At 39.7% G+C, this 15,731-nt stretch overlaps 1 protein-coding gene across 4 annotated transcripts in view, besides 3 other annotated features; it reads right to left on the bottom strand.

Moving 5' to 3' along the window:
* The window catches only part of UBE2E2 (ubiquitin conjugating enzyme E2 E2), a 388,828-nt gene that overhangs the window by 105,924 nt on the left and 267,173 nt on the right, over positions 1–15,731 (bottom strand). The gene's annotated exons all lie outside the window — the stretch shown is intronic.
* Positions 1,948–2,117: an enhancer, noted in NCBI's record as "experimental_68746 CRE fragment used in MPRA reporter constructs". NCBI's record gives its function as "activates a minimal promoter by MPRAs in K562 erythroleukemia cells, with activity observed for the non-introgressed 3:23525461 or rs17013344 variant allele {active_cell/tissue: K562}" and the evidence as "EXISTENCE:reporter gene assay evidence [ECO:0000049][PMID:34662402]".
* Position 2,032: a transcriptional cis regulatory region, noted in NCBI's record as "Neanderthal adaptively introgressed variant 3:23525461 (GRCh37/hg19 assembly coordinates) or rs17013344 in the experimental_68746 CRE". NCBI's record gives its function as "modulates activity of the experimental_68746 enhancer by MPRAs in K562 erythroleukemia cells {active_cell/tissue: K562}" and the evidence as "EXISTENCE:reporter gene assay evidence [ECO:0000049][PMID:34662402]".
* Positions 12,117–12,286: an enhancer, noted in NCBI's record as "experimental_68737 CRE fragment used in MPRA reporter constructs". NCBI's record gives its function as "activates a minimal promoter by MPRAs in K562 erythroleukemia cells, with activity observed for the introgressed 3:23515292 variant allele {active_cell/tissue: K562}" and the evidence as "EXISTENCE:reporter gene assay evidence [ECO:0000049][PMID:34662402]".

The raw sequence follows: 15,731 nt of genomic DNA, 5'->3' as shown, positions 1-15,731 counted from the left end.
TTTCCAGCTGGTGAAGCGACACCTGAAGGATCCCATGACACTACTGTTGTTACCAGGCAAAGCAAGAAACTAGTAGGGCTCACCTCCTCCTTGACCTCTGCACTTATACCATGGAAACAGTAAGAGTTTCTCTTTAAAGGCTCTAATTTCCATTTTCTATACCAGCTGTATGACATCTTGCATGCTAATGTCTCTCTCTGTCCCCCATACTTCTCCCCATTAAATTCTGAGATCATGAAAGAAATGCACAAATGACCTGATAAGTCCCACCATTCTTGGTTTATAATTCAGTGAAGAATACCTTCAGTTTTGCATCATCCATCCTATAACATCTGAAGGCAGCGCCAGGCCAAAGTTCCCACATACTCTGAAACAGTGGCTTTACAATTAATCCTCTCACCTCCATGATATACACACATTACTACTTCAACAAAAACAAGAGAGGTTTTTTTTTTGTTTGTTTTTGTTTTTGTTTTAATAGGGGAAGAAAGGCTAAATGTCAGACCTGTTCAAGAAGAAAAGTGCTAGATGGCTAAAATAGGCTCTGTAAATAATAATCCAACAATAAAAGATATTGATTGATTGCCAACAAGAGGTAGTGTTGAGGCCAGGCGTGGAGGCTCATGCCTGTAATCCCAACACTTTGGGAGGACCGAGGTGGGTGGATCACTTGACGTTAGGAGTTCGAGACCAGCCTGGCCAACACAGTGAAACCTTGTCTCTATTAAAAATACAAAAATTAGCTGGGTGTGGTTATAGGCACCTGTACTCCCAGCTACTTGGGAGGCTGAGATTACTTGGGAGGTTTGAACCCTGGAGGTGGAGGTTGCAGTGAGCCAAGATCGTGCCACTGCACTCCAGCTTGGGTCACAGAACGAGACTCCATCTCAAAAAAAAAAAAAAAAAAAAAGGTAGTGTTAAGTGGACTCACTTAAAAACTTTTCTATGATTACTTCAGGAAATCAAGACTCCCACAGGACTAAAATACTAGCTATATGGTGTTGAGACTTATTTTCAGTAGTTACCCACTGATATGGCTTGACTGTGTTCCCACCCAAATTTCTTCTTCAACTGTAGCTCCCATAATCCCCATGTGTCATGGAGGGACCCAGTGGAAGGTAATTGAATCATGGGGGTGGGTCTTTCCCATTCTGTTCTCCTGACAGTGAATAAGCCTCACGAGATCTGATGGTTTTATAAAGGGCAGTTCCCCTGCATAAGCTCTCTTGCCTGCCACCATGTAAGACCTGCCTTTGCTCCCCCTTCACCTCGCGCCATGATTGTGAGGCCTTCCCAGCCATGTGAAGCTGTGAGTTCATTATACCTCTTTTCTTTATAAATTACCCAGTCTTGGGTATTTCTTCACAGCAGTACGAAAATGGAGTAATACACATCTTGCATCAGTGCTCATCACTGTACTGTGATCTAGGCAAGATAAAGAACATTCTTGATTCCCAAAGGGCTTCCTGTCTGGGCAACAAGAGAGAAGGTAAGACGTATTTGTTCCACAGGATTCATAATCAAGATGCTATGGGAACCCTGTAAAAAAAAAAGTTTTCATTTCCTGGTAGGTGAGCTTCTTCACCCTGTCTTATACCACAGTAGTACCATGTTTCATTTCAGCACCGACCTGAGAAAAAGAAACATTAGGTTCTCTCAGGATAAGTATATGGTTTGAACAAGTCCCACAGGAGGTTCTGACATGAACTACATCTCCTCCAGGGAAAGGCTTCATAAAAGGGGTGGCAATTAAGCAATTAAGCTGGGCTGGAAAGGTGAAGTGGATTTTAACTGGTATAGGGAGATAAAGCATAACAGGCTAAAGGCACTTCATGGAAAAAGGCAGGGAGAAGAAAGCGGGTTGCCCTTTGGAAGAACAGCAGATATACCAGGATGGCTGAGGTTAGATAGTGTAGGGCCTTAAATGACGTAATAAAGAATTGCAAAAGTACTCTGGAGAACCGTGATATTCAAATTTGTTGCTCCTAGGAGCTGCAGGGCTCCACTGAGGTCTTTTGGGGTCATTAAGTTCGCTGCTCCCTCCCCAGCTGAGATTCAACAAGACAAACTCCGCTGTGTTTGTGTACCTTGTCAGTACATAATTTCTTTAAATACTCTTTGAATAAAAGGAGTCCACTGCTTTAAAAAGAGCTTGAACAGCTTCTGGAACTCCCACCCTGCCCCAACAACAAAAAGGCCTAGATCCCAAATCAGACCAGATGAATCAGAATCTAATGAACAACTAGAATCACCATGATAGAACTACTATTACAGACTATGGAGTCACTGAGGGCCTCAAAGTGTGGTCCAGTAAGAAGCAGCACTGGGCAAACTTACTGAATGAGAAACTACATTTTTGACAAGGTCCTTGGATGATTGGTGTGTACATTAAAAGTTTGATAGGCACTAGTGGAAATTTCTAAATAGGAAACACATAATAAAATCCACATAAGAATATTCACCATTTACTGAGCATCTTCTGTGTGCCAGACATTAAGCCAGACACCTTTCATACCACTGAGCCTCAGTTCTCTTATCTGTAAAAAAGGTAACACTTTTTACCGTGTGAAGTTATAATAAGAATTAAGACATTTTATATTTACATACATGCAGTGTCAAATGTAGTGTCTGGCAAAGAGTAGGTTCTTTAAAAATCTAAGTATTATCATTCACATATATTTTTCAAATTACTGTCACTCTGCAAACTTAAATGTTATCTAAAACTAAAGGTCAAAGAAATTCAGTGGCTTGGCAATGGTTACACAGTAAATGATGAAACTGTATTTCAAACCTAGACGAGCACTGAAAAGCTCATCTTCTTTTCCATGCAACACTCTGACAGCAAGGCTTAGTGTGGACTGAAAGCAGGAGATACAGAAGACCATAGCAGCAATGATAAACTAAATGGTGTCAACATTAGTTCACTACCTTTCTGTTTAAGAGACCAGAATTGACTAGAATTACAAACAAGTGCCAATAAAAGTACAGATTAGAGTTATTATAGTCTGAAGAAATTATAGGTATGTCCTAATATCTCCTAAACACTTAGCAATTAAACTAACAATATTTATATAATAACATTCAGTTAGTTATTTGGCAATTTATTTAACAATATTTAATCTCTGGATAGGCTTATCAAGTTGACAAAACATTTTCACATTCATCATCTTCTTTAACCTTAGTGACAACTAAGTGAGATAGGATTATTATTCTCAAATCAGGTTGCTCTACTTACTTTTTTCCTCCTTAAATCCCTATTTAATCTCATAAACCTGGATTTCCTAAAACTTTGCAGTGGCTTTCATGAAAGAATTAGGCTTTGTGTTAAAAAAAAATAATAATAATCCAGGCTGTCAATGACAGGCACAGATTTCAGATTTCATCACCTATCCTTCCTTCTTTCCTTTAGTCCATCAGCAAAGGTTAGGAAGACAGATGGGTTTTCGGTCAAAGGGAGTCAAGAACAGCGTGGGCAGCATGACATAGGTTTATCTTCCTTTTCTGTTCCACAGAAAAGTGATGGAAGGTAATTAATTGAGCTCTGAAGGCTCTTGGTGGAGGTGTAGCCCCAGCTGGAAACAAGTTTTTAAGAGATGAGCCACACAGAATATCCTGGTGGAAAGAGATGATAAGCAACCAAACAGAAGACGCAAGTTTACTTTTTGGCTTTTGGTATATTCATAAACTCTACTTCCCTTGATAAAATGAGTTATTTTCCTTCCACATCATTTGTGGTCAGTATTTCTAGAGGGCACCCTCTTAAGAGTCTATAAAATTCTGAGTTCTATAAATACACATTTTCAAAAGGAAGCAAATGAAAGGCTCTAGAAACATCTTGTTGCTCAAAAGAGTGAAGTTATGACAGCACTTTCACATTATGTCACAGTTCACTACTCAATTGCTTAGTTGTCTAAGGATGGTCTATTATGCCCTAGCTTTCATGTGAGATTTTGCAGTTGGCTGTTGTAAAACATTTATAGAAGTGACTTCTAGCACTCGAGTTGGTGATTTAATACTATACAGAGTTCACTAGTCATGGTATCTACATCAATTTTCTACAGTAGCTATTATTGCCTCTCAGATTTCTGCCACTACCTTCTCTTTGTAAGCAAAACAAACACAGATTTTACAGAAGATCTGCTATTTAAGAACCATCAACTTGTAGTATCCCTTAATAATTCCTGTCAACGTCGGCTATCTTTGAAGGATTTAGTGGTTTTTGCTTTTGGCAGTGCTGCAATAATGGAAATAACTTACACTGCCCATCCCCATCTTACAGTGTCTGCTAACATGTTGGGTTGTTGGCTGCCAGGCAGATTTAATTTATCCACTTCTCAGTTTGCATTAACCTTTGAATAATAAAGCACAGCTGAGGCTGCTGTAAGACACAAACAGAGGAATGAATAATTAAAAACACCTTCTCAGCCTTGGAAAGACCAATCCCTAACCATTAGGGGAGCTTTAATTGTGACTGAACTAAGCATTAAAAAGGCTAATTGTACTCTTTATAGATGGAAACAAATGCAAAGGACGTAGTACAACTACGATATACATAGTATATGAAAGCAAAGCTCTGAAGGCACCAACTAATTAGTTCAAATGAGAAACGATAGCCTGATTCTTAAAAAGCAATTTCCTTCTAAAGATGGCCACTCATTGTCTTACATTCAGAAAAATTGCTACTACTTGTAAAACGCTATTACTCATTTGATGCAGGTGGACGGGATAGAGTAGCATTTGAAAGGATAGAAATGTTAAAGCTGAAACAAAAGGTTGAGAATAGAATATATTATAGACAACCAACAGTCCTATCTTTTTTGAATCTGTCAAGTGCTTATGCCAGCTGGGCTTCTTTGCTTTGATGAATTTAATTTTCCTTTGGGAAGATCAAAACCCAAATCCAAATCTAACTCTCATTATTTATATGTTAAGATTACAAAAGCCATTGATACTTCATATATTTGCTAAAATGTTGTATCTAATAATTTTGAATCAAAGAATACCCTATTTATCCAAATCATTGGAAACAATAAATCTTTGTTTCTAGACCGCCAACAAAATGCAGGATGTCCCCCTAAATCAAAGAAGGCAGTTTCGCCAATTACTGACTTTCAAGTATTTGGTTAATATTTCTTACACTAGAAAGGTTTCTCTAATGCTTAGTTTCATTTTTATTTTGCTACATATAAGGCCCTTTCCTCTATTTCTGTTCAAAAAACCATTTTGTCAATGCCCTTCAGTTACTGGAAAGTTAGGAAGGTAGAAATCCTTTTTCTGTACTAAGCAATTTTACAGCATTTAAAATGGCTTTTATTTTCCACCTTTATGCCTTTCTTGGATCTCTGAATCCTCTTCTTTTTTTTTTTTTTTTCCTGAGACAAGGTCTTGCTCTGTTCATGGCGGCAGTGGCCTCTCTGCAGCAGCTGCTGTACGGATGCCAGCTGTAGTGGGGGAGGCGCAGCGAGGGCTGCACCCTCCATGGAACCGGTCGGGGCTGGGATCAGGCGGGAGCCCCACCCTCTACTAAGCTGGCGGGGCAGGAGCCCTGTGCTGCTAGGCACAGCTGCAGCCACCCAGCCATGGCTCCAGACCAAGGCATCCCTGCACTCTTGGGGGCCTAGGAAGCTCCCTGCCCCCATAGGCTTCAAAGTACCTGTTCCCACTCCCTGGCCTCTCCCAGCTCTGGGCATCCACTCTGAGGTGGAGCAAAGTTGTGGGTGGGCCTGGGTGCTATCACAACCCAGCTGGGTATGAACATGCTCAGGGCAGCACTGACACACCAGCCCCCTGCTGCACAGGCTCCTTCCAGACTTTAGACACCTACGAGTGCAGGAGGGAGGCCGGGGGCACTGCGGGCAGCTTGGCATGGACCTGTGGGCGCCTCTTGGCACAGACAGCCTGGGTGCCATGGATGGTATGAAAAGCAGATAGGTTCCTAGGCGGGAAGGGGCAGGTCCCCAGTGAAACTCCACCTTCAGGCTGGGGATGGCCTGAAGCCTGTGGGCTGGGCTGCCAGTTCTGAGCAAAGTCTGCAGCCTGGAGTGAGAACTTCATTGATGACCACCTGGCCAACCAGATGGTGCTTTCTCCAGGCCCACCCGTGACAGCCCATGGACCAGTCAGCATGTACTGCCTCCATTCTGAGCACATAAAAACCCCAGACTCAGCCAGACTTACACACTCCTCTAGATGACCTGCTTGCAGAAAGGAGCTAGCCACTACAGGTCTCCTCTCTGCTGAGAGCTGGACATTCATTGGGACAAGCTGCCTGCAAAAAGGAGCTACACATTTCAGGTCTCCTGAGAGCCATTCTGTCACTCAGTGAAGCTCCTTTCCACCTTGCTCACCCTCCAGTTGTCCGAATCTCATTCTTCCTGGATGTGGAACAAGAACTTGGGACCCACCAAATGGTGAGACTGAAAGAGCTGTAATACAAACAGTGCTGAAACATACCCCCCCTACCCCCCAACTCACCATCTTGTGGGTGAAGAGAAAGAGAGAAGAGCTACGGCCCTCTGGGGAGCCCAGGCCTAGGGGCTCCCTGAGCTAGGACTGTTGACATCCTTTTTGAGGCTCTGCTGTTCCTGGGGTCTCCAAGTTTCTGGTTGCCACTGCGTTCAGATGCATTGTTCAGATGCAGGTGCCTGTAGCAGAAGTCACTTGTGGTACGTCTGATCTAGCCACAGTCTTGCATGGAGCTGCCTGCCCCACCACAGCAGCTGGCATGCCTGGCTATGCACAGTGACTAGATTCCATGATTGTTTGCTCACACACCTCTCACTGCTCCGTGCCTGGCTCACCCTTGGCAGATGTGGGATCCAGGCTGGTAGCATGAGTCAAGCACAGCTGATTCCAGGCCAAGTGGGTGGAATGAGCCCAGTGGGCCCAAGCAAAACCCAAGCAAAGGCACCACCTACCACAGAAGTTTCTGGCTAGAAAAGCAACACCTGAAGGATCCTGTGACACTATTACAAAGGATCCTGTGGTATGATCGCAGCTCACTGCAGCCTCCATCTCCTGGGCTCAAGCAATCCTCCCACCTCAACCTCTTGAGTAGCTGGAACCACAGGCATGTGCCACCATGCTCAGCTAATTAAAAAAAAAATATATATATATATATATTTGTACAGATGGGCTTTCCCTATTTTGCCCAGGCTGGTTCTGATCTCCTGGGCTCAAGTGATCATTCTGCCTCAGCCACTCAAAGTGTTGGGATTATAGGCAAGAGCCATCATGACTCACCTCTTAATTTTTTGTAATCTAACTTTAAGATGACTCTCTGCACATAATAGGTAAAAGGATGATCAAATGAGAACAGATTTGAATTTGCTATTTTAGTAAAGACTAGATTTGAATTTGCTACTTTAGTAAAGACCAGCTTCTCTTCTACGGGAAGAAAAATATTACTTTTTTGGTTTTGGAGGCTCTATTCTTAATATTTTTGTTTCACATCAGTTCTTGATGTATGAAAACTACTGACTTATATTGAACTTGTTCCCTGATGGGACCTGGAAATCTGTGTGTTCTATTTGTACTTAGTCTTATTTCTTTTGAATATCACTATCCTCTTCTATCACTCTCTAATTGTCATATATTTGTTTAAATTTCCTTTGGTGATCAGTCTGTTGCCATTTTCTCAGAGTTAGCCACTTTGTAAAACCTGGTTTCACTCCTAACCAGCAAAATAAATTATCCTTACCCCTGGTTATGTTGTTGCCTGTCTTTTACAGTCTAGGAGTCCCCTGAGGGCAGGCACTGTGTCTTACTTATCTTTGCATACTAGGCAGCTGTGATGATGTCTGCCACATAATAAATACTAGAACAACACTTTTTATTGGATTTATGAATTCATAAAGAACTGACACTTGTAACATTGACAAAAAGTGCTGAGGACGGAATAGGTGTATTAGTTTGTTTTCACACTGATATAAAGAAATATCCAAGATTGGGTAATTTATGGAGGAGAGGTTTAATTGACTCACAGTTCCACATGCCTGGGGAGGCCTCAACTGACAATCATGGCAGAAGTGGAAGCAAACACCTCCTTCCTCACAGAGTGACAGGAGAGAGAAGGGTGAGGAGCAAAGGGGGAAAAGCGCCTTATAAAACCATTAGATCTTGTGAGAACTCACTGTCAAAAGAACAGCATGAGGGAAACTGCCCCCATGATCCAATCACCTCCCACTGGGTTCCTCCCATGACATGTGTCGATTATGGCGGTTACAATTTGAGATGAGATTTGAGTGGGGACACTGCCAAAGTACATCAGTAGGTACACCATGATTTCTTCCTTAAAAAGGTATTTTACTCTTCAGTAACACGGAGAAATCCTCAAAACATGATAAGTAAAAAGTAAAAAAGATGCTAAATAAAATTTACTTGTTCACTTATTCATATATTCAACAAATATATCCTAAGATCCCTCTATATGTTGGCACTGTTCTATGTGCTGCAGATTTGGCAGTGGACAAGTCCAAAGTTCTTCATTTCATGGAACTTATATCCTAGCGAAGGGAAGATAACAGTAAGCAAATAAACAAGTATACATGTAATATACTGATTGTGAGAAATAATGGTAAATAATAAAACAAGGCTTAAGGTAGTGACTCCAAATTATTTTTAAAAACAACCTCCCTAAAACACAGCTAAATGTGGTACACATTTAGCTATTACTTTGTGAAATTTCTCTACTTACACAAGTTGCATTTTTCTATTTCAAAACTAATCATACAAAAGCTCCTAAAAATGTATTCACACATGATAAATTGCTTTCTCTGTGAAGTGTAGTATTATTTAGTTGTATATTCACAGCTGGCTAAGGATTTGCAAAACATCAAGATAAATTTTGTCCTAATTCATGTAAGACTTCTTTCTATTTTAGGCTAACAATTTATTCACTGCAAACACAATTACACTGTTTATGACCACAGCATGCTAAGTATTCACAATGTAAAATTTTAAAATGATAATTTTGTTAATAATTACATCTCTTTAGTTCATCAAATAATGTTAAAATAAAGATAGAGAATATTTTCAACAAAAGAAACAATAAGGAACTTAACACAAACTTCTAGAATTAAATCAACACTACAAATGGAAATACTCTGGGACTCCTCAGTTAAAATGTTGGCACAATCCAATTTGATTAGTCCTGTTTTATGTATGATATTGGAAGCAGTAACTCGTGACAGCTTTTATAACAGAAAGAATGGAAATAACAAAGAATAGTTTATTAAACACCAAACATGGTAAAATTAAAAATCAAACCATTTAGATTGAGTAAATTAATTTTTTAAAATTTATTTTTCTTTTTTGAGACAGGGTCTTGCTCTGTTGTCCAGGCTGGAGTGTAAGGGCATGATCACAGCTCACTGCAGCCTTGATCTGGGCTCAATCATCCCACCTCAGCCTCTTGAATAGCTGGGACCGCAGGCACATGCCACCAGACCCCATTAATTTTTAAATGTTTTGTAGAAACAGGGTCTCACTATGTTGCCTAGGCTGGTCTCAAACTCCTGGCCTCAAGCAAGCCTCCTCCCTTGGTCTCCCAAAGTGCTGAGATCACAGGCATGAACCACTGCACCTGGCCTGAGTAAATTTAAACTGTGGGTCAGTATCTCTTAATGGTGCTTTAGTGCCAATTTCATAAGTCTTAGGGTATCTAGCATAATAATTACATTCAATGTCCTATGCCCACAGAATCACTATCAGTGTTACGACAATATCCAAGTTTTCAAAACACCAATTCTATTTCTTAAGTTTCAAAAACAATGGCCACAAACACTCAGAGACAGGTATGAATCCTACTGTTTGGTAGATAGAAAGGCAACCCAATATTGAGGAAAGTAAGTTAGGTAAGGGAACGAAAATCCACTTTACAAAAAATTTGCTTGGTGGGTCACTTAGACAATGCAGAACACAATATGGAAAGGGAAGGAAGAGGAGAGGTTTTGAAAAGATAAGTGAACATGGACAGATGCTTAGACAAAAGTGACTCCATCTTGAATACTAATCCACAATGCTGACTTCTGATTAACTCCAGTCCTGTGAAGGCCTCCTGATTCTTATTTTACTAGCTGTCTTTAGTGTAAGAACATGTACTCACTGTAAATCCTGCTTTTAGATCAAAGCAATCTTGATGGTACAGCACAAATTACTGCACAGGCATGATGTACCTAGCATTCTTGCCTGTTCTGGTGGGTTGTCTTAAATTGTTTCTATAGAGCCTGTAAACCCTTTCCCTGTGGTATAAAAGCCCCGGTCTGGGCAGTAGTGGTGTGCAGATCTACCTGTCTTGCTGCCACCCAAGAGTATGCTTCCATCTGTAAGTTCCCAAATAAATTACCATTTCCTGAAAAACTGGATTTGCGAGCCTTATCCTTAGGTTTCTTGGCTCCTTCTGAGTTTAGGAGTCACTTTGCATATATGACCCTTTCATGGAACAACAGATTTTCATATGAAAAAGATCACCCTGATAGCAGTGAGGATATAGCTGAGATTGAGGACATGAGACCAGTTACAGGGCTTTATAGTGACTGAGGTATAAGATGATGGTGGTAATGACAGGAGCATGGAAAGAAGTAATACATCTCAGAGTTGAGACACAAAAGGATCATATTGAGTTTGGAGGACTTGTAGCATGTCCATCTGCAGATGCCAGCCAGGTATGAAATTCAGGTAAAAAGGGCTGTATTGCAGAGATTTGTGAGTCAACAGTGCTCACAACTGTTGGTCTTTATAACCCCTATGAGTGGATTAGGTTATGACAGAACCAGCACTGCAAAAGGAGGGGAGTTAGGAGGGAGTTCTGAGAAACACTTACTGACATTTAAAGGTATTGGCAACAGATGAGGAGGGTGAGAAAGAGCAACCAGACAAGAGGAAACTCAGGGGCATATGGTATCACAGAAGCTGAGAGAAGGAGCACTTCGAGGAGAAGAATGTGGTCAACAGTGTTGTGTATTGCAGAGTGGTGAAGGAAAACATGGAGAAAGTTCTATCACTTTCAGCAAAATGCAGTTGGTGACTTTGAGAGGAGCAATTTGAGTGAAATGCTTGTCATCGGTTGTGGGTTAAGAAATAAAAAAATTAAAGGAGAGACAATGTGTTTCTGTTTCTAGAAGTCTGGATGTGAAAAGCTAGAGAGGAATGTGAATGGGGGATAAGAAGGGCGGGGCATACAAAATGTCCAAACAGGAAGGAGGATTAAACCACAGACAGAAGCACTGACACCTTTTCTGCTGTGACAGGAAGGAAGGAGGAAAGGGGAGGAAGATGAAGACTGTGTAAGACTGTAATTGGTCTAACGCATTATTACCACATAAGTGGAAACAGCATAGTTTTATTCTAGACTGCCATTCCAGTTGTGTGACCAGGGTAAATGTGACCATATATAAATTTAAACTTTTCAGATCCTTAATTTATGAAGATGAGGAAGGTGGATTAGATATCACCAAAGCCCCCTTCAACAATAAATTCCAAAATTATACATTATAATTCTATGATTTTTTTGTGATAGATTATTAGAAATGTACAATAACGTGTATTTGTGTCTGAAATCTGCACGTTCCCTTCAGAAAAGAGTACTTTGTACCAAATTTGCATTTTAAAATGAGGACTAGAATGACTGTAAGAAATAAATCTTCACTTCAGTCAGTAAACAGATAACCCACAGAGTGGGAAAAATCTTCAAAATCTATACATCTGACAAAGGACTAATATCCAGAATCTACAAGGTACTTAAACAATTAACAGGAGAAAAACAACAATCCCATCAAAAAGTGGGCTAAGGACATGAATAGACAATTCTCAAAAGAAGATATAAAAATGGCCAACAAACATATGAAAAAATGCTCAACATCACTAATGATCAGGGAAATGCAAATCAAAACCACAATGCGATACCATCTTACTCCCGCAAAAAAATAAAAAAATATATATATGTTGGCATAGATGCGGTGAAAAGGGAATACTTCTACACTGCTGGTGGGAATGTAAACTGGTACAACCAGTATGGAAATGTGTGGAGGTTCCTTAAAGAACTAAAAATAGAACTACCATTTGATCCAGCAATCCCGCTACTGGGTATTTACCCAGAGGAAAAGAAGTCATTATATGAAAAAGGTACTTGTACATGCATGTTTATAGCTGCACAATTTGGAATTGCAAAAATGTGGAACCAACCCAAATGTCCACAATCAATGCGTGGATAAAGAAACTGTGGTACACATATATGATAGAATACTACTTAGCCATAAAAAGGAATTAATTAATGGCATATTATTCTAAGTGAAGTAACTCAGGAATGGAAAACCAAACATCGTATGTTCTCACTCTTAAGTGAGAGATAAGCTATGAGGATGCAAAGGCATGAGAATGACACAGTGGACTTCGGGGACTCAGTGGGGAAAGGGTGGGAAGGGGGTGAGAGATAAGAGACTACAAATTGGCTTCAGTGTATACTGCTCAAGTGATGGGTGCACCACAGTCTCACAAATCACCACTAAAGAACTTACTCATGTAACCAAATACCACCTGTTCCCCAAAAACCTATGGAAATACTACAAAAAAATTTTTTTCACTTTGGTCTAGCTTTCCCAACCACAAAAATTAAAGGTAGATTGGTGCTTTTTTTGACCCCTGGGGATAATCAGTAAAGACCATGTAAACTGATTTTGAATAATGAAAAACTACTAAAACATTAAGAAAATATTAATGTTCTTTCTAAAAAAGCATTTGAATAAAATAAAAAACTTTCCTTTGTGCTTTTTTTTCCCATTTAAACATGACAAAAACTATTTCTGGCTCAAGTCATTTTCAATGTGTATTGATAGAGTGGGGGAAAGGCACTCTGCTCCCATTTAATTTAAAGACCCTGTCTTCTTCCATTTAAATCAGGTGCCATGGACCCATCTGGTAGTCTAGTGAAGCATATGGACCTTTTCTCAGGATAATATTTTTAAATCATAACAGAAAATGCACAGTATCACAAAGAAAATAGATTATATTGAAATAAAGTTATCAAAGGATTAAAAACTTTTGTGTTACAGGGCCAGACACAGTGGCTCATGCCTGTAATTCCAGCAGTCTGGGAGGCCAAGGTGAGAGGATCGCTTGAGCCCAGGAGTTTGAGACCAGCATAGGCAATACAGCAAAACCCTGTCTCTACAAAAAGTAACAATAAAAAAATTAGCTGGGCTTGGTAGCATGTGCGCCTGTGGTCCCAGCTACTCAGGAGGCTGAGGTGGGAGGATTGAGTCCAGGAGGTTGAGGCTGCAGTGAGCTGTGATCACGGCACTGCACTCCAGCCTGGGTGACAGAGCAATCCTGTCTCAAAAAAAAAAAAAAAGTGTTACAGATTTAATAATAAATGACAAAATCCAATTTAATCTGCTAGGTCTAAAAATTGTAATGAGGTGATGAAGCATTATTTAAAGATATCTGGAATAACTGTGAAGTTATTTCTATTGGTGACAAAGAATACTTTGCTGGATCCTTTGTACCTAGCTGACAAATCAGTGAAAAAAGTATGGAGGATGGTGCTTGGAAGTACCTTGTATTTCTGCTACCCCTTGTCGGTGGCCAGGACTCAGTCACATGGTCCTGTATCTAAGTGCTAAGAAACAAAATTTCACCAGTCCTTATTCTGATGTCTCTACAATTTGTTTTTCATTTTGGTTGTCTGAAACTCATTTTCCAGTAGATTTCTCAGCAAGGGCTCATGTGAGCAATATTTGATTGTCTGGGGGAGCTGTAACTGAAGGTAAGTCTGGCTGGACAGAAAGTAAGTGGCTCATGTTTTCCTTTCTAAAATATCTTATATACTCCATTGATTTTTACTCAATCACCTAATTTCTGAGTCTTTTCTAATTTGGATTTGTCTTTCCTTTCGGATATCATGTAAAAAACTTCTTTTAGCTTGTTTTGAAGTAATAGTTCATAGTTTTAATCTATTTTGTGGATTTTTTGGGGCATGTTTTCATTGTAGGAACGTTATTTTGCCCTGTATTCTTTTATCTTATAAAGGCTTTAACCATTTTTGTTTTCCTTTTTTTTTTTTTAAAGATGTTTTCCTGTACTGTGAAAGGGACAGTCCAGCCTAGTTCTTCCCAACTTAATGATTCCAAAGCTGTCTTTTCAATTGTTTTCACAAAGTGATTTTACAAAATGTGGTCTCCCACTTTGTGGGACTGCCTACTCTGTTGTCCTTGCCCACTTTTTATATGGACTTTGTTTCTTCTCCCCTTTTGTCCTGTACTGCTTAATTTGGATTCTACTTCAAGTAGCTTCCTTCAGTGACAGCATTTGTTCTGGAAGACAACTTTGGTTTGTCTGCTTCAGGAGTTTTTAAGGCCCAGACTGCTTTAGCACTATCAAACTGAATCACTTTCCAGTCTCCTTTATTCACCTATGAATTAAACATTACAAAAACGCCCAAGCAATCTCAGTGGTTGCTATGTAATTGGCTTGCTGTGCTTTCCAATGAGTATTTGCTGGCACTTCAAGGGCTTTCCTCTTCTCAGGACCCATCAACCACCTTGTTTCCTTACATTTGCTTCCTTCCACACATTTACTGATCCCACACTGATTTTGTAGTTGTTGGCAGTTTGTCCTTACCTGCTAGTATTTGGGGGTTTATAAGGATACTTAGCTTTGAGGTTGTTGCTATCTGTAGGTTTTTGGTTTTGATATCCTACTTGCTCTGTTTTATGATGAGATTAAAGAACAATGTCACTACTGCTACCATCTTTCAGGAATCTTCTTCCTGTAGTTTGTACTTTTAAATTTAAAATAATTATTGCTCAAGGTCTAGTTCAGAATTTGAAAAACTGGGGCTGTCCTTCTAATGAAAACATAGTAAAATACTCAGGATTTTCAAACTGTGACCTTTGAAACCACAGATTTATGCATACATGTTGCATGTCTGTGTGTATATGTGGACTTCTGTTTTTCTTTCTTTACCCCACTTCAAACAGAGGGGGCTCACTGTAGATATTGTACTTCAATGAAATATTTTTGTGTGAAGAAAGGGTTACATGGTTAAAAGTGTCGGAACATAACTGTCCAGGGGTCATCCTTTAAAAACCATACCTAAGAATAGACTTTCATAATACAGATTTGCAGAGACAATTTGGGCCAAGAACTTGAGCTCCAAGAAGTGGAGTTCACGCAAAAAAAAATATATATATTTTTATAAAAGTAATCTCTCATGGTTTTCAAAGGCTTAAGAACAGAATATATACTTATTAAATTCCTTTACATTTCTATTAAGAACCGTTTTTACTGGCTTTACTTTTCTCCCATTTACTATCTGCTGCCAGAAGATCAACTGTGGCATCAAATGCAGTTCTTAAGTTTTCTAAGTATTTACTTGGAACAAATGTGAAAATTTAAACTAAGTTTACAAAGACTTAAAGTAATCTCAGAAATGATCAACTCAATTAGATTTTTCCTCTTTGTCTTAGATATTTTAAATTTCAATTTCCCTCAGAGAACTTACAAATAAGATGTTCAAAATAACAACTTGAGGAAAAACAAAAACCAAAATCCTAAATGTTAGTGCTTGTGGAGGAAGATATGGTTAGATTCCTACCTGGTAGGTCAAACATTCTGGCATATTATATACCACATATCCATGGAATCACACCATATAGACCTGTCTGTCAAACCCCGGATTGGGGGGAGGATCTTTCTTGTGAGCAGAGAACTTTTCACTTCACTAAATGCTGAGA

This window comes from Homo sapiens, chromosome 3 (genome assembly GCF_000001405.40).
Source record: "Homo sapiens chromosome 3, GRCh38.p14 Primary Assembly".
Lineage (NCBI taxonomy): Eukaryota > Metazoa > Chordata > Mammalia > Primates > Hominidae > Homo > Homo sapiens.
This window is presented reverse-complemented; position numbering and strand designations above follow the sequence as displayed.